Consider the following 27232-nt stretch of genomic DNA (forward strand, 5'->3'; position numbering starts at 1 on the left):
TTATTTTTTAATGCAGATGATCCAAGTTTTATTAAAGTTTACATACTTAAGCATAAATAAATTAACAGATTTGTAGCACCAATAATGGTGGCATGATGGTACACCTGGAGGTAACATTATCAAGAGCTTTTGTTGAAACCTTTCATTTTCAATCAGGTGCTGATTTTTTTCCACCCAAGTCTTCAATTATTACTGTTCTAACACTGCAAAAACCATTCAAGCATAAAAAAGCATGCAAGAGGCAGTAAAATAAGCCCAAATAATTGAGAATTGAACAAGAAAACAAAATAATTTACTCTTAAAATGACAAAAGTAAAATTAAGACAACCTCTAAACCAGGGGTCTGGTGAACTTGGATGGGAAAAATTTTAAATCTTTCTTTTCACCAACTTCTAACTGAAATATAACATTTCCTTCAATTACGAATATAGGAAACAGTCCACAGTAGGATCAGAGTACCTGTGACTTTGTCACCAATAGAAATGAGACATTTAGATATATTACAGTTGTTAGATATTTCAAGATATGAATTTGAATTATAGTAATTTTAGAACCACCATGCAGTCTTATTTTGTGTTAACAGAATATGTATGTTACTGGATCATAAAACTTTGAAAATATCAACTTTATTTTAACATGATCAGTTTCCTTTGCGATCCTTTATATTTAGTTTTATGCTTTGAAAACATTACTATGAGAGGGGGTCCACAGGCTTCACTGGATCACTAAAAAGCTCAATGGCACAAAAAAGTTTGAAACAAATAAGTCATTAATATCACAGGAAGAGAGTACTTAATAGTGAAATAGGGTGGGTGCAGTGGCTCATGCCTGCAATCCAAACACTTTGGGAGGCTGAGGCGGGCAGATTACCTGAGGCCAGGAGTTCGAGACCAGCCTGGGCAACATGGCAAAACCCCATCTTTACTAGAAATACAAAAATTAGCCAAGCATGGTGGCACGCGCCTGTAGTACCAGCTACTTGGGAGGCTGAGGCACGAGAATCGCTTGAACCTGGGAGCTGTGGAGGTTGCAGTGAGTCAAGATTGTACCAGTGCACTCCAGCCTGAGTAACAGTGTGAGACTCTGTCTCAAAAAAAAAAAAAGTGAAATATATGAAGCTGACTTCAACAGTAACAGATTTCAGAAAAGGTCTAAAAACTGTGCTCCAGAATTTAATTACCACAAGGAGTTAGAAAATCCACACTACCATCCAGCTTCCTAAACAGAAGACTAAATTTCCCGCTATCCCTGTCTTTACCACTGTACTCACCCCCACCCTAGACTCTAGTGTAGAACAAGTAGTCAAGGAAAGAGAGATTAAAATGGTCACTCATGCAGATGATACCCAAATGCAAACATGACACGCTTAGCAACTGGAAACCTGGTGGGAGGGGCGCAAGAGCACGCTGGCTTCCTAGAGACTGGTTGGCAAACGTAGAATTAAGAGGATGGTGATAAGAAACCAGGGATCCATGGGGCAGCCTTCCCAGTTTGCTCAAACATTCTGTTGCCAGGCTGTGACCAGGACTCAGAGACCAGTCCTAGGTTTACCATCCAGACAACAATGTGGGGGAGCAGAGAGAGCGTTATAGAGAAAAGTTTAAAAATATAAGTAAAATGAAATAGTATTCTTGGGTATTAAAAAAAGAACTCTGAGGCTAAGATTATTGTTGGCCTCTGGACTTGCCCTTTCTGGTCTATCTTCCACATTGCTGTCCGAGTGAATCATTCCAACACTGTATGGCACTCTCTTGCTTAAAATCTTTCAGTGGCTCTCTACTGTGCTCAGGATCAAGTGCAGGTTTAAAGTGCAGGTTTATTACCTGGTCTGCCTAGCCCCATCTTTTGTTATGCTTTTGTATGCTCTATCTCGGCCTACTCAACAATCTGCAGTGCCTCACCCTCTGGCCTCTAGGTCTTTGAGCACAGTGTCCCCACTGTCTGGTACACTGCTCTCTATATTGTGTTTGGCGTTCCCTTTTTCTCCAGGTTTAAGCTTGGCTATCACTTTCTCCCAGAAGTCCTCCTGTGTGCTCCCATAATGCATACAGCTCCTCCTATGTGCTCTGTGCTTGGTCATAGCACTTATCACATTAATAATAGTCTCCTTCAGAGTCTCAGCAATTGGGGTCAGGCACTGGGTCTTACTGTGGTCCTAGCATTTAGCATAGGGCCTGCCACTCAGGATCTCAGGTGGTTGTTGAATGGTTAAATTGTGGATCTATAAAGGCAGAACTGAGCAAAATTACTGCCTTGGTGTGGTGGTGACAGTAACTGGAAATCTCTGTCAATGATTCCCTACATGTGGACTTGATATTTGAGTCCACAAAAATTATAATGGAACTACTGTATATCTTTAAAAAACTTGTAACAAAAATGGCTCATTTATCTAAGACAAATCCAGACAGACTAATAACAAAGGGTAAATTGTTTGCCTTTGGCTGGAAGATAAGCTCAGACAGTGCAGGGTTTTCTGCTGATCAGCAGCTCAGATTGCCTCATGATGCACCACAGGGATTTCTGAGATAAGATTGACCAGATCATCTAGTAATTTCTGATTTACTACAAAACATATCACAAATGAAAGGTGCCCATGAAGTTTTGTGAGAAAACTTGGAACCTAGGCCCAGATCATTCATTATGGTGATTAGTACTGCTTTTGTAATTGCCTGAATTAGCATGTCTCTTAGATGAGGGACCTGAGCCAAGAAAGACCTTAGAAGTCTGGGAGGTTTGAACCAGAGACCCAACGGTCTTGAGAATTTGCCTAGGACCAAGACCAGATTCTCAAGATGCTTTCTGTGTGGTAGGAAATAAGATTATGACTGTTTTATGGAAACAAGGAGCTAAGTAAAGTTAGGCACATCCAAGAAGGGCAAAACTGTTACTTTAGGAGAAGGGGCTTGGAAGCTCAGTTTTGTTGCTTTGGTTGGGATTTTCAAGATCGGAAACATTTTTATGCTGTATATATTTTGGGGATTTTTTTTCAAAAGTAAAATATTTCTTCTCAAAAGTAGATTCTGTGCTTCAGAATTTAATTACCACAAGGAGTCAGAAAATCAACACTACAATCCAGCTTCCCAAACAGAAGACTATATTTCCCATTATCTCAATCTTTATCACTGTACGTACCCTGACCCTAGACTCTAGTGTAGAACAAGTAGTTAAGGGAAGAGAGATTAAAATGGTTACTCATGCTGATGATACTCAAATGCAAACATCAGTCTGGCTTAATTATGCTAAAAAAGAGGAGACAAATATTTGAGTGCCTGCTAAATATCAAGAATGTCTTGGTATTTTCACATATAAGGAATTCTCTCAACAAGAGGGGAGATATTTGTCTAAACTTGGATCAATACTTTCAAGAGAAATGAAGGTATCTCAGGCACTTCTCATTCAGGAAGCGAAGAGAAATGAAACCAAGGGAAGGTGGAGAATATAGGACAACTGTACAGTTGCTTTAAAAAAAAAAAAAAAGATGGGATTCTCATTATATTGCCCAGGATGGTGTTGAACTCCTGGCCCCAAGTGATCTAGATAATTCTTTGTTTTGTTTTTATAAGGGAGGGTCTTTTCTAACAGTGGGCTCTTTGATTCCTGTGAGACAGCAGCATTTTGTGTTTCTCTGTTTGCTTCATTGGATGCATTACAATTAAACCTGTGCCTGACTAAGGAAACTAAGTATGCACTAATGATGGGAGACGAAACAACAGGGCTTTTTATTTTTTTTTAATGGTAACTCCTATCCACTACCCATGTTTTATATAGTCCCCATGTTTGTTTGTATTTTTTTGTACAGAGAGGGTCTTGCTATGTTGCCCAGGTTGGTCTCGAACTCCTGACCTCAAGTGATCCTCCTGCTTTGGCCTCCCAAAGTGCTGGGATTACAGGCGTGAGCCACTGTGCCTGGCTGAGTCCCCACGTTTTATCCCATGTTTTCTAACAAAAAGAAGAAAGAAACAATGACTGCTTGACAATGACGGCTAATTCCTCCTTTCTTCCCCATCTGGATGTGTTCACAACTTTCTATCATCCAAATCTAGACAAACTAAAAATAAAAACCTACACTTTGTGACCAAAGTCTTCCTTGATTAGCTGTTAACTGCTTTTCATTTGGACTCAGGAAGGCTAAAGACTAGGCCATAGGAGGAGTGACTAACTTATTCTTTAGTCAAACAGCACTGATGCAGTTGTCAGCAATGCCCCTGTGACTGAGGAAAGTATTGTTTTACAAAGTTTTTAATATTTTATGGCATAATAACAGTGAATCATATTAGAATTCTGGTGTAGGCTGGGCACAGTCACTCACGCCTGTAATCCCAGCACTTTGGAAGGCCTAAGTGGGTGGATCACCTGAGGTCAGGAGTTCGAGACCAGCCTGGCCAACCTGGTGAAACCCCGTCTCTACTAAAAATACAAAATTATCCAGGTGTGGTGGCGCATGCCTGTAATCCCAGCTACTCGGGAGGCTGAGGCAGGAGAATCGCTTGAACCTCAGAGGTGGAGGTTGTAGTGAGCCAAGATCATACCATTGCACTCCAGCCTCAGCAACAAGAGCAAAATTCCATCTCAAAAGATTCTGGTGTATTATTATTATGACCTGATATCATTCTAATATTAAGCTCTGTATTATTGCAGGTAAAAATAAAACGAGTTTTTGCCAAGTAAAATTTATACTTAATTCTGTATCACAAGAGTCTAATTTTTAGTGTTAAAATGAAGTTTTCTCTGAAAATATGTTTACCTTATACTTGATATGCTATCTAACAGAGAAAAATAGTTCTTTGGAAACACTCATCAAACAAAAACCTATAGCCTGTGCAAAATAACATCAAATGTACTGCTGAGAGATCAGTTTTGCATCAAAATGGTCCCTGACCATCACATTATAAAGCAATAGCAATAAACACAGAACATTTCATAATTCTTATCTAGGTTGGGCAGGAATAGGAGGGAAGGTCTAGAAAAATCAGATACTCAAATTTCAGCACATAATTATTCAAATAAAATTTTAATGATTTCAGTTCCTGAAAATGTAGTGTCATTAAAGGTCATTTCCTGCTAAATTTCAAATTACAGATTTGTGGGCCATTCCTGAGCAGAAGCATCATTTCTACTAAATATTCAGCTTGTTAACTAAGGTAACTGACAGTATCATGGCAGGAGGTGAGAAGGAGCAATGATCAGCTCATAGCTAAGAAAAGGGAAAAAAACAATAACCAAAGCAAAAAACAAAATAGCTACAGATATTAGTAAAATAATAATACAATCCCAAACATCCACCTCTTAAATTACTACAAAAACAATACCAATAAAGTTATAGCAAATACAGTCTTCACAGATTTGAGTAACTTTATTTGCATTTTATAGTGATTTCTTAAGGCCTATATCCAATGAAACCATTTTAAAAGCTCTATGAGGAGTGGAATTTTAGATGTCTATTACACTTGTCTTTTAAAAGAAAAATGCTTAAATTTCAGAATGAGCAAGATTCACTTTTGTAGGTAGAGGCCCTGCTTCTTCATGATCTTCAGTTTTAGATCTAACAACCACAAGAGAAGAAGCTGGATATCTGTTTAGCTTTTGTTCATTCATAAACTCCAAGTCACCATAGATACTCAGCTTCTGCAAAAGAAAACCAATGTACATTAGTAGTCTGGATAATTAGGAACCTCTCCAAGTTAGTCTTTAAATAACAATTTAATTTATAAATAGTTGGTAAAAAAAATTCTATAAACAACTTTAAGAAAGAAGAATACTTTTTCTCAAAGTGTTGTAGATATGTGATTCAGCTCCCAATGGATGGCCAAAGAAAGCTGTTCCACGTCTCAAGTTAAAATCCTCAGGAGTATAACAATTGGGTATCAAGAAAAACAGCTATGGATGCCTTAAGTGATCAAGTCCTTCAACATCTTAGCTCTCCTACCAAGTGGTAAAATAATTTGGTGCAAGTTTTTCTGCTCCTAAATGTTTTAGCTTAACATGTATGGAAAATGATAGATGCTATTTGAAAAGGCTGCGAGAACAAAGAATATGCATGAAATGCTCTCACACTGATAGAAGGGTCTTCATAAATATATAAAGTTCCTTAATTGTTAATACCATATACAAGAAGACACTAAAAGAATGAAAGCATAAAACAGAATCACTGCAAATGTCATAAAACTCATTGGAGAATAATAGTAATATCTAGCATCTTTTGAGAGTAGGTAGACTTAGATATATGTATGAATGTCTCTGTCTCTTTTTTTTTTTTTTTTAAAGAGACGGGGTCTTGTTCTGTTACCCAGGCTGGAGTGCAGTGGTGTGATCATAGCTCACTACTAGGCCTTGAACTCCTGGGCTCAAGTGATTCTCCTGCCTCAGCCTCCTGAGTAGCTAGGACTATAGGCATGCACCACCATGCCCAGCTAATTTTTCTTTTTTCTTTCTTTCTTTTTTTTTTCTTTCTTTTTTTTTTTTAAATGATGGGGTCTTGCTATGTTGCCTAGGCTGGTCTCAGACTCCTGGCCTCAAGTGATCCTCCTACCTTGGCCTCCCAAAGTGTTGGGATACATGTGTGAGCCACTAGGCCTGTCCGTATGTATCTCTTAAAGGCAGAAAAGCAAAGTGAAAAGTCTCCACTAAGAAACGGCATAGGCTGGGTGCGGTGGCTCATGCCTGTAATCCCAGCATTTTGGGAGGCTGAGGCGGGCGGATCACTTCAGGTCAGGAGCTCGAGACCAGCCTGGCTAACATGGTGAAACCCGGTCTCCACTAAAAATACAAAAAATTAGCCAGGCATGGTGGTACATGCCTGTAATTCCAGCTACTCAGGAGGTTGAGGCACAAGAATCACTTGAGCCCGGGAGGCAGAGATTGCAGTGGGGTGAGATCGCGACACTGCCCTCCAGCCTGGGGGACAGAGTGAGACTCTGTCTCACAAAAAAAAAAAAAAAAAAAAATGGTATAGATTCTGTTGTTAATCTACTCATACGGCAACAAATCCCTGTATCCAAAAGTTAGAAACTGAAGTGCTGATATCACTGGCAGGACAACTGACTAGATTATAAAGCAAGAACTCCACAGAAGTACCCGATACTGGAAAGGTGTTTTTAAAAGATGCTGAATAAAGAGCACCTTCAAGAGTTTATCAAAAGTGATACATGCTATCCTGGCTGGGCGTGGTGGCTCAAGCCTGTAATCCCAGCACTTTGGGAGGCTGAGGAAGGTGGATCACCTGAGGTCAGGCGTTCCAGACCAGTCTGGCCAACATGGTGAAACCCCATCTCTACTAAAAATACAAAAATTAGCTGGGTGTGGTGGTGCATGCCTGTAGTCCCAGCTACTAGGGAGGCCGAGGTAGGAGAATCGCTTGAACCCGAGAGGCAGAGGTTTGCAGTGAGCCGAGATCGCACCACTGCACTCTAGCCTGGGCGATAGAGCAAGACTCCATCTCAAAAAAAAAAAAAAAAAAAAAAGTGATAAAGTGATACATGCTATAACATGATGAACCTTGAAAATATGCTTAGTCAAAGAGGCCAGTCACAAGAGACTACATATTGGCTATCTAGGGCTGGAGGGTGAGATGGGGGTAGGGGTGGTGCAGCTGCTGCTGCTTGGGAGAAAATGGGGAGCAATTACTAAGAGTATAGATTTTCTTTCTGGGCTGATGAAAATGTTCTAAAAGTGATTGTCACGATAGTTGCTTACTCACACATGTTTCAGATGTGTTCTACTGGACGGTTGCCTCAGGGGAACAACTATCCTGCAAGGAGGTGCCCCAGTACCTTAAGCTTTTCCAGTATGAGAGTAGCTTTAAGACAAGTTCAGGCCAGGCGCAGTGGCTCACACCTGTAATCCCAGCACTTTGGGAGGCTAAGGCAGGCGAATCACTTGAGGTCAGGAGTTCGAGACCAACCTGGCCAACATGGTGAAACCCCATCTCTACTAAAAATACAAAAATAAGCTGGGTGTGGTGGTGTGCGCTTGTAGTCCCAGCCACTCGGCAGGCTGAGACACAAGAATCGCTTGAACCCGGGAGGTGGAGATTGCAGTGAGCTGAGATCGTGCCATTGCACTCCAGCCTCAGCGACAGTGCGAGACCCTGTCTAAAAAAAGAAAAAAGAAAGTTCAGTGGTTGATGGGTTGGACGTGGATCTGATGGATCTGATATAGCAGGCCTCCATAAAACTCAGAATTCACATGTGACCGTTGGCTCTGGGGCACTGTGAAAGAAAAATGTTCACAACTCTACCTAACAATATTTAAAGATCTTGAAGCAGCAACCAGGAACTGTTTGATTTTATACATCAACATGAAAGAAGCCACTGAAGGGAGGTAGGAGACTGAGGAGATGTTGGTTAAAGGACACAACATTTCAGTTAGATGGGAAGAATATGAAGATACATGAAAATACTTTGTAAATTTTAACGACTATATAAATGTTAGTTATCAACATTATCCTGTCCCAGTTTCCAGGTACCTACATCAATTATATCACCTTAATAAAAATATTAAGTGTAATATTATCTTAATCATTTTTCATGTGCAAATCATATATTTAAACATCTTTATAGTCTATTAGGATAAGACAGTTGTTCAGGCACCATGTTAGGCACATGCCAATGGCTTATTATTAGATTCTAATTTCTGTCTTTTCTCTTTTTCTATGGTACTTTGGAGGCATAAGAAAACTAAAGTTTATTTCAGTTGGATTAGATGTTGACAGCCATTATTATTCTATATTTAGTTATATAAATACTTTTCTGTTCTTGAAAGCTAAGTTGAATAATTAAATTATAGCCTTTCCCCCAAACAAAAATCCTTTACCTTAACAGTTATATTTTTTGGGCCAGTTAAATTTTAATTACCAAGGAAGTCACAATGTCTCCCATCTCTTTTGGGGTTAGATACCAGAATATAACAACTCAAAATCAAACACTCCAGCATTTTTTTTTCTTTTCTTTTGAGACTCAGGGTCTTGTTCTGTCACCAGGCTGGAGTACAGTGGCACAATCCTGGCTCACTGCAGCCTCAACCTCCTGGGCTCAAGTGATCCTCCCACCTCAGCCTCCTAAGTAGCTGGGATCACGGGCACGCACCACCATACCCAGATAATTTTTATAATTTTTCATAGAGACAGGATCTCATCATGTTGCCCAGGCTGGTCTCAAATTCTTGAGCTCAAGTGATCCTCCTGCCTAGGCTTCCCAAAGTGCTGGGATTAGAGAGGCATGAGCACCACACCTGGCCCAGCCTTGCTGCTTCTAAAGCAGCACTGATCCTTAATATTGTGGTAATTAATTTAAACTATTAAGTGGTTCTACAAGTCTTCTCTCTGGCTGGGTATGGTGGCTCACGCCTGTAATCCCAACACTTTGGGAGGCAGAGGTGGGCAGGTCACTTGAGATCAGGAGTTCAGGACCAGACTGGTCAATATGGTGAAACTCCATTTCTACTGAATATACAAAAATTAGCTGGACATGGTGGCGCATGCTTGTAGTCCCAGCTACTCGGGAGGCTGAGGAAGAATCACTTGAACCTAGGAAGCAGAGGTTGCAGTGAGCCAAGATCCTGGCCACTGCACTCTAGCCTGGGTGACAGATGAGACTCTGCCTCAAAAAAAAAAAAAGTCTTCTTTCCCATATATCCCCTAGAAACTGATGTCAACAGGTCTTTTCAGTCTTAGAGAGTCAGAAAGAGACACCGTTCTCAAGCCAGTCAACATATATGTCACCACGGTAGTTAGCATCACAGAAAGCTGAGAACAACAATTCTTGTGCTGCAAACCTGTAATTTTTATGTGTGCCAACCTCTACCACATTAAAACCACCACATCTTCTCTCTTTCTATTAGTAGAAAGGCCTTGTTTTTCCAGCTAAACAAATAAGGTGTTTAAAATGATATATCACAGGGCTCAGTCTTCAAATGGTAAGAATTAAATTTACCTCAGAGGGAACATACTGCTCCACAGCTGTAGCAACAGTTGCACAACAAATCCAAAGCAATACCATCACCGAGAGGACAAGAGTTGTAGTTAAAATCCACCCAGAGTTACTGGAAAAAAAAAATCAACAATTAGTTATATTAAAATTTTATAAGAAACAGGAAATTCTTAATTAGTCAACCTTATGTACTTAGCTCAACAGTACAATTAAAACTTTGTTGGTTATCTTTGAAACTATTAAAAAACATACTTACAGAAGGAAATATTATACTAATAGCTATTACATTAGGTTGGCATAAAGTCTTTTTCCTCCACTTCTAATGTTTCTGTAACATGGCTATATCACTTTTGTAATAATAATAAAATCAGATATACTTGACTTTCTGCTAAATATATAAGGCAAGTGAAAGTGTCCTGTAAATTGTACACTGTTGTACAAATGTCATATATTATTTTGCAAGTTATTACGATACTTGCTTTAAGAAAACCAATATACCAAAAAGTTAAGGTATAGAATAGGTAAATTTAAAATGATCATTTGTTTTATAAAAGAATTCACACCAGGCTTCCAGAAGTCAGTTTCCCTAGAATACTTTACATATTCAATTTGCCATAATTTACTTATACTTCAATTTAAAAAAGCACAGCTATTATAAGGCATTCTGTAACCATTACAGCATATCTCAGTAAAGAGATAGTTATATTTTCCTTATAATTAAAATATCTTAAGACAGAAGGCCAGTTATGAGAATCAGCAATTAGAGATTTTTTATTTATTTTTATTTATTTTGAATTTTTATAGAGACAAGCTCTCACTATATTGCCCAGGCTGGCCTTGAACTCATGGGCGCAAGCCATTCTCCCACCTGGAGTTTTTTTCATAATTGACCTATTAAGATTCAAAGAATAGGAAAAAGTCAAGCCATTTTTAAATAATTAAAAGTCTAACTCTGACAAACTGTGTAATACAGATACTCCCTAATTTTCACATCTCTGCTCATCCAACACTGCCTAGTAAGAGATCTATACTTACCACCCTAATCACTCACTTGATAGTTTGCCAAGACTTGAACATGCAGTAAGCACAGTCATTGTTTGTCTGCCAGCAAAAGAGGTGGACTTTGGAGAATGTATTGTATCTAAAAGCAGGGAACTCCCATATGATTCTTTAAGTATCCAATTTAGAAAGATAATAGAGTAAAATATGTTTTTAATGAACAAATACCCACTTTCCTCTCCATGTTCCAGCCCTAAGTAACCTGAGTACTAAGGAATTTACCACAAAATGAGGATATATTTGATATCTAGATTCCAGTAGCAACTACCTAAGCCAGAAAACTGGGGCTCATCCCTTCAATCTCCACAACAAAACAATGACTAGATCCTACAGATTTTCAACTATCTCCATTATCTCCTGTTCTTATCTACTGCCCTAATCCAGACCTCATAATTTCTTCCCTGATTTACCAAAGTTCTCCAACCTGGTCCTCTAATCTATCCTTCACATAGAAGCCTCTTCTTGACACTTATGTTCCTGATTCTCTCTATTCCTGTTTTCCCAGTTCAGTCAAATTTCTGACTCTCCTTATCCTCCATATATAGTAATGTACCCTATACACATTGAGCAGGAGGCCAGTATATCTGAAAAAAAAATTTTAAGTAAATCTTCTGCTATAACTAGCAAAAATTTCTACTCATCACTTGAGATATTTCTATCTCACCTGTCAATCCTCCCCTTGAAACCTCCAGTAGACTTAAATACAGTCCTTATATGCTGTGTATGAGACATGTGTAGGACTGTGTGTGTGTATAGCAATCATTATTGTCCATGTCTGTTTAGATCTGAGAACTCCTGACATCTTTACTAGGTCTCAACTCCCTAGCACAGTGCCTGGCTCCTCAAAAAGAAATGCAAGTGAAGAAAGAGTGACCTCAATTTCCATTCTGGAGACAAGGGTGTCTCTTTAACAGCTACGACCAGATTCCAATAACTGGCTGAGTGATTCTGTATGTAATCATGGAAAAATCATGACACTTTAGGAAGTAAATAGTTACAGCAGAATAGGATGAGCAGAAGATGTACAGTTAGAAAAATTAGGTTTGAATGCTAACATAGTGACTGTATAACCTTGCGAGTAGTCAATTCACCTCTCTAAATCACCACCTACTTATCACAGGGTATTGTTCTAAAAGTCAAATGGGATCACTGAAGGGGAAAAAGCATTTAAAAAAAGAACACTTAAAAAAATAATAAAATTTGAGACAGTCTCGCTTTGTCACTCAGGCAGTGCAATGGCACGATCACAGCTCACTGCAGTCTCAACCTCCTGGGTTCAAGTGATTCTCCCACCTCAGCCTCTTGACAACTGGGACTACAGGTGTGTGCCACCATGTCCAGCTAATTTTTTTATTTTTTGTAGAGATGGATGGGGTCTCACTATGTTACCCAAGCTGATCTTGAACTTCTGGGCTCAAGTGATCCTCCCACCTTGGCCTTCCAAAGTGCTGGGATTACATGCATGAGCCACCGCACTCGGCCAAAAGAATAATTTTTATTCAAATGTAGGATCCTATTATAATTTATGTTTGGGCACAGAAACTTCTAAGAAATACATTTCTATAAATACATTATAAAGTTAGTTGCTTCACAAAATTACTTTTAAAGTGTTAGATGTAAAAAAACAACATAACATATAATGACAAAATGTTAAAGGTCAATAAATCACCAATAATATGCCAGGTAGTACAGTACTGAGAACTGTAACTTAAGATTAAATAATTATTTAGGTTTCACAGAACTATCAAACTGCAACATACATCCTAAATACTGGAAAGAAAAACTGCCCTTTTTTGGACAAGCTCAAAACCAGGTTTAGAAATGAACGAAGGATAAAATTTAAAGTTTAATCCTTGTTTTCTCACATAGTCTTTAAACATTTTGCTTAGTAAAAAGTATTAATTTGTAAGGTCCACATAATTGTAATGATATATGATAAAACCTCTCAAGAAACTGTTTCTATAAGAAATTACAGGGAGCATGTGATTTGGACTACTGCAGTTTTATACTTGAGATAGAACAGTCCACTAGAATGAACACACTATAAAGCAGAAACTTGTTTACCACTCACTGAAATGCTTGACCTGGTATCTGACACCGAGTAGGTGATAGTCAATAAGTGGTATGGCCCACTATCTTTCTCTTTTTCCTTTTTTTGTTGGGGGTGGGGAGGAGTAAAATGTGGGGGAGGGACCATATCTGAACTCCTTGGAGAAGAGGAAACATGCACACTTTCATAAAACCTGCCTCTCACCCTCATAAGGCTTGATATTTTTTCCTAGGAGGGCATATGGTACCCCTACTCTCACTTGCCCACTTTACCATTACCCTTAAAAACTCTTGGCATAGAGCTGATATTCCTTAGTATAGAATACAAAGCCCTTCTTAATCTAGAGTCTTTATCCAGCTCTTCTAGCGTCAAATCTGGCCATGCAGATAAAAACAAAAACAAAAATCTGATCCCTAAACCATTCAAACATACTTATTTTATTTATTTTATTTTTTGAGACAGAGTCTCACTCTGTTACCTAGGCTGGAGTGCTGTGGCGTGATCTCAGCTCACTGCAACCTCTGCCTTCCAGGTTCAAACGATTCTCCTGCCTCATCCTCCTAAGTAGCTGGGATTACAGGCATGCACCACCACGCCCGGCTAATTTTTGTATTTTCAGTAGAGATGGGGTGTCGCCATGTTGGCCAGGCTGGTCTCGAACTCCTGACCTCAGGCGATCCACCCGCCTTGGCCTCCTAAAGTGCTGGGATTACAGGCATGAGCCACTGTGCCCGGCCTCAGACATATGTTAAATTAAAGCTTAATTTAAATGTGTGGAGAAGCACATTCAACATAAATCAAGAGATTCTAACAAGAAAAATGCTCTTGTACTGTGAAAAAAACTACCTGCCTGGGTTTTATTCAAGTAGTATGCCTACAACCTTTTAAACAAACTAAAATATCTAATGTACAACTTTGGAAAGGAACAAGTAAAAAGGTTTACTTTTGAGGTGCTAATTTTAAAATAATAAAAAGTAATATATCTCTCTGATACAAGCCAGATTTTATCTGTTATACACATAATAAAGAGGAATACATACAGAGAGAGGCATCTTAAAAAGCCATCACTTTCTCCATCTTCAAGAAAATTCCTGTGCGCTTGTGAATTTCTCATTTGCAGATCTGCTGAAATAGTAAGTATGAGTTTATTATATCCTATATTCCAAAAGCTAGTCTCACATGACTACTTCTAGATATATACACTTTACAGATATCCAATTGTTTTTGTTTGTGTCATCTGATACATTTTATAATGTGTACCAGTTTCTCTAGCACATCAAAACCAAATGAATATTCTATCACATTATGAGTTTCCTGTTTTATTTTCAAATTCTTATTGACATTGATGCTTTCTGCTTAATTACATGTGAGCTTGGATTTGGTTTATTCTAATCTAATTAAAGTTAAAGATGGTCTTATGTTATGTGCTATCATTATCTACCCACTCCCACCCACCAAAATAATTAGAAGGCTAATTAAATCAGTATCTAAAATAAGGTATGAGGAAATTTCACAAGGTGAGTTCTGCTTTAGCTTGATGTTTTATGTTCTTATAAGTCAAAATTCACTTCTAACATGGAAATAAAAATAGAATGGGGACTCTCACTTTTGGCATTTTTCATTATTTGATCAATTTATTGGGAAATACCAGAATATTTGATTAGTTCATGCTCAAAACATCCTTTGAAGCAAACTAAATGTTTTTAGAATAGTGATTTTCAAAGTGTGGCCCCCAGGCCAGCAGCATCAGCAAAATCTGGAACTTGTGAGAAATACAAATTCTCAGATCTTCTCCCAGACCTAGTAAATTAGAAACTCTGGAGGTAGGGCCCAGCAATCTGTGTTTGAACAAGCTCTCCAAACTGTAATACACATGAAAGTTTGAGAACCACTGTTTTAGAAATTATCTGTTTATGTTCCATCAGTGTAAAAACAAACATGACCAACTCTACTACAACCAGATTTGACTGCTAATGTTTTTATCTAAGCTACTTAAAATAAAACTTACAGGACATTTTGCTTAGAGATGATTCTCTCAAATTTGTAGGCTCCTGCTCCAAATGTGGTGCGTACTGGATTTCTGGCTTAGACTAAAATAATAATGAAAGCAATTAAGTCATTTGTACTTCTTTAGCTTTTTTCAGTAACAAGTTCTAAAACAAATCATCTCTTTAAACATTTAAATTGAGAAAAAGTAGCAGAAATACTGTATAAAAAATAAAACACATTAACCACAATATATTTTAATTGCACTTCCTAAACATCAGAGCCAGTGCCTTGCAAAGAAACAGATTTCTGGCAGATTTATGTTAGTTTAACTTCCTGACAACGTTTTGTTTTGTTTTTTTTTTTTTTTAAAGGGAGAGAGGGACAAATCATGACATACTACATTAAATACTATACCTTGCAGAAATGAGTTCTAATTCTAGTTGATCAGGAATAATTTATCAGACTGCCAAAACTTTTGGCTAAATACACATTATCTCTATTTATTCTCATATGAAACATTATATTCTTCCCTAAGTATGAGGAATCCATAAATTACAGCCAAACACTCCATACTTTTTACATCTTGTGTATAGTTCTGATCCTCTAGAATGGGGGTTTCTGCATCCCAGTTATGCTCAAATTCACACAGACTTTAGAGAGACACAGAGCTAATCTCCTATCTAATGAGGAATGAATGAGGGCTTCACTCTGAGAGTCAACTTATGCCTTGAGGTAAGTAGCTTTAGGACCTAGAACTTGTTCATGAATTTAAAGAGAAAATTCCTGTGTTTTACTTATTACCAAATTAAGTAGAGGGGACCCAAGGTTCAGGGGAGTGCTAAAAATCACATACCAGCCATACATTAAGCCACTTACTTAGCTACAGTACTTAAAAGGTTTACTTTATTACCTGAGAGGAAGACAGTGCCACAACATAAACTCTGTTGACTGGTAAATTTGAGGAATTCAACTACTGAATTAAAAGCATGGTAGGGTAGTATATGGGCCTTGGTGCTAAAGTGCCCTGGGTTTGAAGCTTAATTCTGTTACTTATTGGCCGTGAAACTGCAACAAGTTACTCTCACCTTCCTCATAATAAAACAGGAATAATACAACCTCATAAAGTTGTTTGAAGATGTGAGAGAATATATCTAGCACAATATAACCTCCAGGGAATAACAGTTATTATCATGTGGTAAACGATGAGATAGGAGACATTACTTCTCTAGGCAAAATACTTCTTCAACAAGTTCTCTTATTAGAGTCATGAGTAAAAGCACTGTAAAAAACTAAAAATTATGTCATATTGCTTTTATCTGATATCCATATGTAATCATATATGGCCACTATTTATGTTCGAAGTATATTAATTATTGTCTCTCATATTTAAAAATTTCATTTTATCAATTTAACCACCATAAAATTTAAAAGACTCAAGAGTTCTGGTTACATAAAAACTAATGGGCTTTAGATTAGGCTTCTAACGGGCAAAGGGAAGGGTAATAAAACTGATGTCTAATATTTTAATGTAGGGCCAAATAAGTAATTATTATTTGATGATAAATATTTGTAAGTGACTGAGTATGGTTCTATGCTGAAACACTCATTTAAGACATATACATTTACTGTTGTTAGTATTTAGATGAATCCATGAAGCTCAGTTGTCACCTGGAATATAACTATTTTTCCGTCATCGGCTTGAAGATAAAAAGTCCATGAAGAGGTTATGAAGCTCTGTGCGGAGTCCATCATGTCACTCCAGAATGACCTCACCAGAGTTAGAGGAAAGAGTAGGTGCATTTTTGGCATCAGGGACATAAGCTAAAAATAAAATAAATAATGAGAAATATATTATTTTTATATATGTATATTCAAAAGAACAATATAATCAAGATTACTCCAATCCTTATTGGGACAGGATACAAACAATTAAATACATCTACCATAATCAATAGCATTAGAGTAAACTCTTAGTTATCTATGCACATTATGGTAAAGCTTAAAAACCAAGGATACTTTAATTTGCCACCAAACACACTTACTAGCTACCTGTCACCTCTATCAGAATAACAGGCTTTTGAATTAAGTCCAAAAATAAGAAGACTCTTAAGATGTAATTAAATAAGGACCAGCAAGGCCTTAAGGGTAGAACGGGAAGGGACAAATCGTATCATTCTCATCTTTAATGCTTTCATCAAGAATAAATCATGCTATAATGAACATCAATGGAAAAGAGAACGGAAAAAATCAATCAGAAGAATATATACATAAAATGGTAGACATCTGACAACACGACAGGGTGAAGGGAGTATTTATGGGCTGAATATATGTAGTAAGCTACTGATAAGATTTTAATGGCCCAGCGTGGTGGCTCACACCGGTAATCCCAGCACTTTGGGAGGCTGAGGCGGGTGGATCACGAGGTCAAGAGATGGAGACCATCCTGGGCAACATGGTGAAACCCGATCTCTACTAAAAATACACAAAAATTAGCTAGGCGTGGTGGCGCACGCCTGTAGTCCCAGCTACTCAGGAGGCTGAGGCAGGAGAATCCCTTAAGCCAGGGAGGCAGAGGTTGCCGTGAGCCAAGATCATGCCACTGCACTCCAGCCTGGCGACAGAGCGAGACTCCATCACAAAAAAAAAAAAAAAAAAAGGATTTTGACAAATGATATCATCTTTCCTCCAATTCTGATTTCTTGACTTCTTTAGCAGCACTGGGCCTCTCTAAAGCACAAGTGTGGGATGCCATTTACTAAACTCTAGGGATAGCTTTGGTTCTGCTTTGTTTCTTTTTTCATCTGTTTTTTTTTTTTTTTTTTGAGACAGTGTCTCGCTCTGTCACCCAGGCTGGAGTGCAGTGGTATCTATGGTAGCACTTGGGCCCAGAAGCTTGAGGCCAGCCTGGGTAATATAGTGAGATCCTCATCTCTAAAAAACATAAAAATAAAAAATGCATATACCTCTTAACTCAGCAATTCTAGCCCTATGATTTTATTCTACAGGTATACTCACAAATGTGCAAAATAGGTATCATTTACAAAAGAAAAAGATTAGGAACAACCTACATGTTCACAAATAAGGGACTGCCTAAAAAATTATAATATATCTACACAGAATATTATGTAGTAGAAAAAAATTAGTAGAAGCTCTTTATGTATACTTATATTTACAAAATATATGTGTACATCCTTGTATACGCATAACATATCTATGCATTAGTAACCTTGGCTACATTCAAGAGGGAAAACTGAGTGGCTAAGAGACAGGAGTGGGAGACTTTTCACTATATGTATACTCTTTTTATCTTTTGAGTTTGTACATGTGACTATTTCCTGTGCAAAAATCAATAAAATTAAGAAACTTTTCCCAGTATGTCTGGAGAATAGAGTATGAAATTCCCTTGTCAGGAATTTTAAGAGATGGCATTGGAGCAGTAATCAGGAGTAGGTTGTGATAAACAGTTTGGACTTAAATCTATATGTAATTGGGAGCTACTGATTATATAAGACAGGAGAATGGCATGATGAAATTTAGAAAAAAAAATCTGGACACAGCAAAGGATGGAGTTAGACAGGGTTAAATTAGAAAAACAGTTTGGAAGTTAATTTAAAAATACAGACAAGAAATGATTATCTGAGTTAAGGCAATGGCAACTGTCCAATGGGAGTTGGGATGGAGAAAAAGAACTCTGAAATAATTCCTCTGAGCCTTGGTTTTTTCATATGTAAAATGAGGATAATATCTTCACTGGAATGTGAGAAGAAACAAAATAAGATTATGAACGTAAGCATAACTTTTAATAGTAAAGCATTATACAAAAGCAATTATTCAACTGACTTTTCTATTTGCAAACTAATTTTGTTTGCTGAAAGCCAAATATAAAATATAACACTAAAATAGGATCAAGTGGGTGATAAACACTTCAAGCAATACAAGTCAGTGCCATCTAAGCAGGCTAGTTTGAAAGGCAGTATTGTTTCGTACTTGTTCTTGTCTCAGTTCAGCGAATGGCAGCTGATTCTGGCAACCAAGATGGCAAGCATATTGCTCATCAGATTGGGAATATGCTTCTGTACATGCTGTAAGAGAAAAATAGTCAAATTACAAGAAACAAAAGAGAAAGGGAAAGAGGAAAGAAAAGGATTTGGCATTTTATTAAAAAAATTTTTATACTTAAAAAGGTTTCATCAATGTGAATTTCCAAATTTGGTAATATAGTAGTAGGAAATGTATCTTTAACAGAACTCCATATTGTCTCCCTCCTACAAGTCAAATGTTTTAGATACAAATCTATTAATTATACACCCAGGCTCTGGCCACATGATGACATTCATATAAGAGGATCCTTGTGTGGTGGAAAATGCACTGGATTGGCATCCTGAAGATGCCACTCAAAAAGGTTTAGTTCCATCATTTGTTGGTGTGTGTGACCTGAGCTGAGCAGTTTAACCTCTGACTATTGATTTCTATATGTGTAAAATAGAAATACCACAACCTATTGTATAGGGTTGAATGAAATAATATATTTTAATGATTTATACAAATATAAGGTATTATTGTTAAGAACCAGATCACTCAGTTAAGAAGTAAGGGTATGCACATGGCAAAAGAAAAATAAAACAATCAGCCTAACATCTGAAAGTCTAAGAAAATTGAACTAGAAAATGTTCTACAGCAGATAATTCTAATGTTGAAATGGGTCTCTACCAGATATACTCTCATTTAGTTCATTAAATCCATTTCCTTCTTGTGATATAACATTTTACCACTATCCTAATTTTATTTTTTCCCAACTCAGTAATGCATTTGTAATACACTTCTCAGAAGTGCTAGATAATAAACTGGACAGCATTATGCATATATAAAGATGATCAGTTAGGAGACTAAGCCGCAAAAATACGGTTATGATATCAAAGAAGACTGTATGTGAGCCATGGCATAGTGATAGGGGAAAAGGTGCCTCCTTCTACACTAATAAACAGTGTAACGAGTGGAGAATATTCCATTATAGTTATTTAAAAAGTTAAACGTCAATTGTGTCCTGATTATAGGTTTCTTTTGTTAAACATATTGCTTTCAGCAAAAAGAAAGAAAAGTGGTTTAACAGATGACAAAGCCTCTGGCTACTTATTTTAATGGCCTGACCAATGAATAATATGCTATTAAATACTGAGTCAAAGGCCTGATTCAGTAAAAAACTTGGAGATAAGTCGATGAACTTATGATTGAAAGGTTTAGGAAAATTATACTATCTGTGAAAAGGTAGTAATGAATTGTGAGTAGGGTAATTATACTGCATTTGTCTGACAGAATGCTTGGTTAAACAAAGGTGTCCTATTCATAGCAGAAAATAAACACTGTCTCAACAAACAGATGAAATTTAAAGCCCATGAAATTTCTAGCAGCAGCTACGAAAACTCTTAGATCCATAATAATTACAATATGTTAGATGACTAGTTTCAACAGTGTGTTTTCCATTTCCTAAAGAAAATACTTCAAAAGCTTATCACAAAGAAAACAATGTTACATACAGCTGATGTCGTTAGCATAGCATCTTACCAGATTCACATTCCAATTTAGTTCGATTTAAGTCAATTCCATCATCCACAAACTGACAAATTGAAAACAGCCTGCAACCTCTCTGACATGCGTACAACTCCTCTTCCTAGGGAGTTCAAGAACAGGAAGGGTTACCAAAAAATAGTATTTTTTTTTCCTCAGGGGAAAACAGGTTAGGAAGAAAGCAGTTAGTAAAGTTTATTACAAATCGTCCAGTAAGTTTCATAACTGAAAGAAAAAAATGATAGGAGCCAGTTGATACTCAAGACCTTTGCCATATAGAGGTTTTAGTTCCTTATTTTAAAAGTGATACGAAGAAAAAAGCCTAGTAGGTAAAACCACCACCCTTTTTCCATTTTCTTTGGTTACAATCTGTGGGGGGGAAAAATTAAAAATAAAACTAATAGTGACAGGCCAGGTGCAGTGGCTCACACCTGTAATCCCAGGGCTTTGGGAAGCTGAGGTGGGAGGACTGCTTGAGGCCAACAGTTTGAGGCCAGCCTGGACTATATAGCGAGACCCCATCTGTACCAAAACAAACACACACACAAAAATAACTGGGTATGGTAGTGCACACTTGTTGTCCTAGTACTCAGTAGGCTGAGGTGTGAGGATTGTTTGAGCCCAGGAGTTTGAGGGTACAGTGAGCTATAATCACACCACTGTACTCCAGCTTGGGGTACAAAGTGAGACCCTGTTGCTTAAAAAACAACAACAACAAAAAACACAACGGTGATATAACTAGAACTTTAACAGCGATAGGAGTAAGCAAGTACCCTAGGACCAATGGCATACTTCTGCCACATCCCTGTTTATATGAATCACCAGGCTTATCAGGAAAAGTATCAGACTAGCTTCACATGGCAAATGGTGACACAAGGGCCTGATAAAGTAAGGTATACATCTATAAAAATGTTTATATGAAGGGATTTTTTAAAACTGGGCTTACATTAAATGAAAACACAGGAGCAACAGTGTGGTGTATGGGAAAGGACACTGCAATCAGCCAGACCTAGATCAAACCTTTTGGGTGAGTGCATAAGTTATTTTACCTGTCTAAGAATCTCAGCTTTCTCATCAAAAAAGGAGAGAACAGCCATTATCTCCAAATTCCTCAATAATTTGGAAGCTATTTCCAGTATAGTGCCTGGGATGTAGAAGGTGCTTAATAAATGGTAATAGTGTTAATAGATTTTTAAAATAGAAAACAATTACAGGCATCAATGTATACGTGTGAAAGCTTAAGACAGGATGGACATCTGGTTCTTCATTACTGTAAAATATTAACTGCTTAATAAGACTAATGTCTTCAGCTGTTTTTCTTTGATAAAATAAAAGTATTTAAAAAAAGCTATTGCATATGGGGGAGCCCCCTCGACTTACTATGTGATCCACTGTGTACAAACTGGCAGACACCTAATAAGGAAACAGCATGTGCATATACCAGTTAGCAACCAATGAAATACAAGCTATGTATTTCTTTCCAGCAAAAGGATTAGTAAAATTTACGCAGCAGCAACAATCCATCAAGAAGAGATGCCTGCAGTCTAATATTAAATATACTTTATCATACAACTTTGAAGGTAGCACACTTTTGGACCTCAGTTCCAACTGCATTTACTGTTAAGATGAAATTGAAAGAATTTTAACAATTGAGATAGATTTCATATCTGAGTAGCTGTTGCAGGCTTTGTAAAACAGTTAAAGAATTATTTTATGTCTCTGGAGCACCACATATTTCCTTATATTGCACAAAGGAAGCATAAGCTCATTAGTATGAGCTATACCACATGCCATTTCATTCTCAGATATGCTTTCCTTTAATAAGTCATCCAGTACCAATTTCGGAAAACCATATGGCATGGTGAAAAGAGCCGAGGTTTCAGGAATCGGCCCTGGTTTGAAGCTCAGACTTGCCACTTATTCTGCACAACCTTTGACAAGTTACTTAATCTAATTCCTCAGTTGTAAAATAAGGACAATACTCTTACATCAATCCTAACTACTATTCATTTATTTTCTACTGCCTGTATAATTGCAGAGTGTCAATCTTCACTATTAGGAGAATTATATATTTATATCTACAATAGCATTACTACTATGTAGTACTATCTAATAGACAGACATATTTAATGAGCATCCACAATGTGCCAGGCACTGTATTAAGACTTAACAAATTATGAAACATCTGGTATGGAGCAGGCACTCAACTGGTAGCTATCAAGAATCATATCTTTATTCTAAGTATTTCATGTTATATATACAAAAATAATGATTTCAAGTAAATATTTCATGCCCTATGTATCCCAAATGACTGGCAAGTTTATATAACATGTATCTCCTCTGATTTAGGACACAATAAATAGTGCTTCCACCATATGAAATACCAGCTAAATTCATAATTAGAAGGTCCCTCAATGGTACTATTTAGGCCAGGCACCGTGGCTCATGCATGTAATCCCGACACTTTGGGAGGTCAAGACATAAGGACCCATTCAGCCCAGGAGTTTGAGACCAGCCTAGGCAACACAGCAAGACCCTGTTTCAATTATTTTAAATTAAAAAATAAATAAATAGAAGTTAAGTGATCAGCAAGGACAAACAGTAATCAAGGAGCTGGGAATAAAACCAGGTCTGTATGGTTCTAGAGACCACACTCCATTAAAAAATGACCAGGCTGGCTCTAATTAGCTTTTTTATTAACATGATTTATGTCTCTTGTTTTTTCGACCGAGATAAATTATGCAATTGCACTTCTGTAGATAAAACATAGAATAATTTAAAAATAACTATTTACAAACAGGTATTCTACTTTCTTGCAACAAATAATTAGTTCTCAAAAAGTGTCTGAGATTTCTTTTTTTTTTTTCTTTTTTTGAGATGCAGTCTTGCTCTGTCCCCCAGGCTGGAGTGCAGTGGCACAATCTTGGCTCACTGCAACCTCCACCGCCCGGGTTCCAGCGGTTCTCCTGACTCAGCCTCCTGAGTAGCTGGGATCACAAGCGTGCGCCATGTTCGGCTAATTTTTGTATTTTTAGTAGAGATGGGGTTTCACCATGTTGGTCAGGCTGATCTTGAACTCCTGACCACCCAGGATCCACTCGCCTCGGCCTCCCAAACTGCTGGAATTACAGGCGTGAGCCACCGCGCCCAGCCTAAAACGAGATTTCTATCTCGTTTTTCAAACGCTATGTGAGTTTGAAAATTCATCTAATTTCTTACAATACACAGTGCTTTTTCCTGGAGCACAAAGCACAGAGGAGAGCCAATAGAAATCAGTGACATAATTAAATATGTTTCTTTTTTTTTTTTTTGATGCAGAGTTTCCCTCTTGTCGCCCAGGCTGGAGTGCGGTGGCGCGGGCTCACTGCAACCTCTGTCTCCCGGGTTCAGGCGCTTCTCCTGCCTCAGCCTCCTGAGTAGCTGGGATTACAGGCGCCCGCCACCACGACTGGCTAAATTTTTTTGTATTTTTAGTAGAGACAGGGTTTCACCATGTTGGCCAGGCTGGTCTTGAACTCCTGACCTGAGGTGATCCACCCGCCTCAGCTTCCCAAAGTGCTGGGATTACAGGAGTGAGCCACCGCGCCCGGCATTTTTTTATTTTTATTTTTTTGAGACACGGTCTCATTCTCAGACTGGCGTGCACTGGCGACATTTCGGCTCACTGCGACCTGCGCCTCCCAGGCTCAAGCAAGCCTCCCACCGAGTAGCTGGGACTACAGGTGCTCGTCTCCATGCCTGGCTAGTTTTTTTGTTTTTCTTTTTTCCAGAGACGGGGTCTTGCCATGTTGTCCAGGCTGGTCTCAATCTCCTGAGCTGAGGTGATCCACCCACCTCGGCCTCCCAAAGTGCTGGGATTACAAGCGTGAGCCATCGCACCCGGCCGAATATGTTTAATGCAAGTTTATTAATAGGAGGCAGCATAGTGTAGCCAGTTTTAAGCTGAATTCCTGCTCCACTATTTCTTGGGTATGTGACCTTAGGCAAGTCACTTAACCTTTCAGAGCCTCAATTTCCTTAATTTTAAAACCCTACTTTACAGGGTTGTTGTGAGAATTAGGGATAATGGTATGATAAATCTCCCATCACTCTGGCTAACAGTGGAGTCTATATAAATTTCAAGTCCAGGACCTATAGGGAGCCAGATGATTTGGAGTTCTTTGTGAGAAAAGCTTTAATAAATAAGTAAAAATAGTTTATAGATATAACACCAATTGTTAGAAAATAGTGGACATTATTAAAGTACCTACAACTTCCAGGAAGGTATCCTTTCAAATTATTTGATTATTTTCCCAACATTCTGGTTTATACCACAAAATTGCCGAGAAAATCCCAAAAAAGGAAACAAACCCTAGAACAATAGAAAGTAAGTCTCAACCCAATTCCAGGCCAAATCAATATTAATGAGCTTCTTCATACAATCCTCTTAATGATGAGAAGTTTACAAGAGGTGGAGAAAAATAACGTGGTTAGAAGCAGTATTCATTGATTTAAGTCTGAAGTTAAAACTTCTCACTTCTTTCTCGATTGTTACATAAATCTCTGGAAAAATTTAGTACAGTCCCTTCTCCCACACTTTTTTTTGAAAATTGATAATCTCCATGCAGTTTAAAATCCAGCCGTAACAAAATCTGAGAAGTGCCGGCACTTAGAACTTTTCATTTCAAAGACCTGAAAATACTCGCCAATATGGAACATCCTAAGCTTCACTGGAACTGTCTCCGTAGCCACTCCAGTTTTAGAGAGCAAGGAGGTCCAGCCACAATGGTTAAGCAAATAGCATAGAGGAGATGAAGGAAAAACGAAGAGGAAACCACCAGCAACATCAACAAAAGCTCTCATAAAACAACGTGGGGGAGGGCATATACTCAAATCATACATGGGAAAGGTGTGGTGGGAATCATCAAGCAATTTAGAATGTTGAGTAAACAGAGTTCTTAGGCTGAAAAACCAACGTGAAGAGGGTTAGGTATGTAATTAAAAGAAAGGGGGGAAGCATAGAGAGGAGGGCCATTCCTCTCTGTAAGCTGCGAACCCCCTCCTGTCCACAGTCTCATTTCTTCACCCACTCCACGAATTCCCCGTTTTCTGCACTGAGTGGTCAGTTTCTGGTAGGCAGACACCTAATTGCCTCTTCTCTAACCCAGTCCCTCTTGGCAGCGTCTTGGACACAGTAACTCAACATAGGCAGACAGCATTCCTGAGCGTCTCGCTACTCCCTGAGCTGCCTTCGTGACGCTTTTTATACCACAGTGGAATCGTCTACTTGTCTGACTCCCCGAAGACTGCGCTCCTGGCCCCGAGAGGCGCTTAGTAAACAAGGGTTATCAATCAATCATTTGTGGACTCGCGTATCTGCGCCTCCCTTTCTACAATCCCCCCTTACGCTCCCTTAGGTGAGGACCCCGCATTAATCATCCATATCCTCCCCTATCCTCCTCCGAGTGCTCGACTCCCCTGCAGCCCGGCAAGCTCCCAGAGGAAAGGGATCGCGTCTTTCTCATCTTTGTGTCCCCCAGCCTATCACAGGGTAGTGCAGGACAAACTTCCGGTAATGACAGCAGAAATGGGGTGCAGGCAGGATTAGGGAGGAAAACAGGAGCTACACAGATGGGAGACAGCGATTGAAGGGCCGATTTAACAGCCAGGTTGCCAGAGCCGACATACGTGTGGGGAGCCGAGAAATGGGCTGCAAGGGAAGGGTCGCAGCCCGCTCCGGACGGGCCCTACCTTAGGGTAGGTGTGCAAGGGGTAGGTCAACTGACAGGCCCGGTGGCAAGACGCCGTATCACCCAAGACCGAGTCAAATGCTTCAGCCGAAGCGGTCCCCGAACCTCCGGCCAAGGCCATGGTCAGCAGCAGCAGCGGCGGGAGCCCCAGTTGGGTCCTCACCCAGAGGCTCCCCTTCGGCGCCGCCATCTTGTTCCCCTCTGTCACAGCAGCTCAGCTTGTTGCTGTTTTCTCGGAAGGGTTTCCTCCTCCTCCTGGGGCCAGCCCCCTTCTCCGCCCCACCGACCGTTGCTTCCGCCTCCGCTGTCACTTCAGCTCCGCCCTCACCCGCCAGAAACTGCCGCCTCCTGCCTCACCTCTGGGACTACGAACTTCTTCTCCTAGGCTGGCGTGAGGAGGGGAATTCAACCATCGCAAGCGTTAGCGCGAAGCGGGGCCTCCTGACTTCTTCCCTTCGCGGGGCAGGCTGGGGCATGTAGTTCTCCGTAGGCGGGAGGCGCACGGTGCTGTCGGGAAAGTTGGTCTCGGAAAACTACAGCCGCCCTCAGCGCGCCTTCCGCCCGCATTTCTTCGCAGTGCATTCTGGGGAATGTGGTTCGCTGTGGCCCAGAGGCGCGAGGGCCGGCGGAGTTTCTTCAGAGGAACTACCGCCCTGGGAGGAAGCGTCTGTTTAGTTTCAACACAGACGACTGGGCTTGGGAGCCTACGAGGTTGCAGTCTGGAGGGCGCCAACAGCAGCTACCAGGGCTGCTTTTCCTGGTGGGTCTCACGTCAGACCGTTGTTGGGTGCCCCTACCCGGGCTCCTGAGTGCTGGGAACGAGGAGGATGGGGTTTCTCCTTGTTCGGGGATCCAGAGATTACAGCCGTGGGTAGGGTCCTCTGACCACCGAGCAGTTTGTTCTAGGGGATGCT

At 39.2% G+C, this 27232-nt stretch overlaps 2 protein-coding genes across 9 annotated transcripts in view, besides 7 other annotated features; one reads left to right on the forward strand and one right to left on the reverse strand.

Annotated features, from left to right (window-relative positions):
• Positions 1 to 26893, reverse strand: TMEM59 (transmembrane protein 59). 7 transcript variants are annotated; one of them, NM_001305051.1, is made up of 8 exons: positions 26676 to 26893; positions 20587 to 20692; positions 19012 to 19106; positions 16693 to 16845; positions 15044 to 15125; positions 14076 to 14157; positions 9930 to 10038; positions 1 to 5625 (listed from the first exon to the last, which is right to left on the reverse strand). In NM_001305051.1, the coding sequence occupies exons 4-8, from the start codon at positions 16840 to 16842 to the stop codon at positions 5470 to 5472; spliced, it is 579 nt and encodes a 192-aa protein (NP_001291980.1). In that variant the 5' UTR covers positions 16843 to 16845; positions 19012 to 19106; positions 20587 to 20692; positions 26676 to 26893; the 3' UTR covers positions 1 to 5469. The 7 variants fall into 7 exon arrangements, with proteins under 7 accessions (NP_001291980.1, NP_001291978.1, NP_004863.2 ...); NM_001305049.1 differs by having other exon boundaries at positions 14076 to 14160; NM_004872.5 differs by lacking the exon at positions 26676 to 26893 and adding an exon at positions 26320 to 26524.
• Positions 10902 to 11102: a silencer, noted in NCBI's record as "peak239 fragment used in MPRA reporter construct". NCBI's record gives its function as "represses an SCP1 promoter by STARR-seq MPRAs in K562 erythroleukemia cells {active_cell/tissue: K562}" and the evidence as "EXISTENCE:reporter gene assay evidence [ECO:0000049][PMID:32103011]".
• Positions 25819 to 25868: a silencer, noted in NCBI's record as "silent region_915". NCBI's record gives its function as "represses an Ori minimal core promoter by ATAC-STARR-seq in GM12878 lymphoblastoid cells {active_cell/tissue: GM12878}" and the evidence as "EXISTENCE:reporter gene assay evidence [ECO:0000049][PMID:35858748]".
• Positions 26017 to 26571: an enhancer, noted in NCBI's record as "NANOG-H3K27ac-H3K4me1 hESC enhancer chr1:54518370-54518924 (GRCh37/hg19 assembly coordinates)". NCBI's record gives its function as "activates a minimal SCP1, AML or CMV promoter by ChIP-STARR-seq in naive H9 embryonic stem cells {active_cell/tissue: H9 hESC(naive)}" and the evidence as "EXISTENCE:reporter gene assay evidence [ECO:0000049][PMID:30033119]".
• Positions 26017 to 27127: a biological region, named in NCBI's record as "NANOG-H3K27ac-H3K4me1 hESC enhancers GRCh37_chr1:54518370-54518924 and GRCh37_chr1:54518925-54519480".
• Positions 26279 to 26978: an enhancer, noted in NCBI's record as "active region_1052". NCBI's record gives its function as "activates an Ori minimal core promoter by ATAC-STARR-seq in GM12878 lymphoblastoid cells {active_cell/tissue: GM12878}" and the evidence as "EXISTENCE:reporter gene assay evidence [ECO:0000049][PMID:35858748]".
• Positions 26556 to 26850: an enhancer, noted in NCBI's record as "tiled region #13762; HepG2 Activating DNase unmatched - State 1:Tss, and K562 Activating DNase unmatched - State 1:Tss". NCBI's record gives its function as "activates a minimal TATA promoter and a strong SV40 promoter by Sharpr-MPRA in HepG2 and K562 cells {active_cell/tissue: HepG2 | K562}" and the evidence as "EXISTENCE:reporter gene assay evidence [ECO:0000049][PMID:27701403]".
• Positions 26572 to 27127: an enhancer, noted in NCBI's record as "NANOG-H3K27ac-H3K4me1 hESC enhancer chr1:54518925-54519480 (GRCh37/hg19 assembly coordinates)". NCBI's record gives its function as "activates a minimal SCP1, AML or CMV promoter by ChIP-STARR-seq in naive H9 embryonic stem cells {active_cell/tissue: H9 hESC(naive)}" and the evidence as "EXISTENCE:reporter gene assay evidence [ECO:0000049][PMID:30033119]".
• TCEANC2 (transcription elongation factor A N-terminal and central domain containing 2) overlaps positions 26928 to 27232 on the forward strand; it is a 58913-nt gene continuing 58608 nt past the window's right edge. For both annotated transcript variants that reach the window (NR_130900.2, NM_153035.3), the window contains exon 1: positions 26928 to 27078. The gene's annotated coding sequence lies outside the window, so the exon portion shown is untranslated. The remainder of the gene's footprint in view (positions 27079 to 27232) is intronic.

Source organism: Homo sapiens, chromosome 1, assembly GCF_000001405.40.
Source record: "Homo sapiens chromosome 1, GRCh38.p14 Primary Assembly".
NCBI lineage: Eukaryota > Metazoa > Chordata > Mammalia > Primates > Hominidae > Homo > Homo sapiens.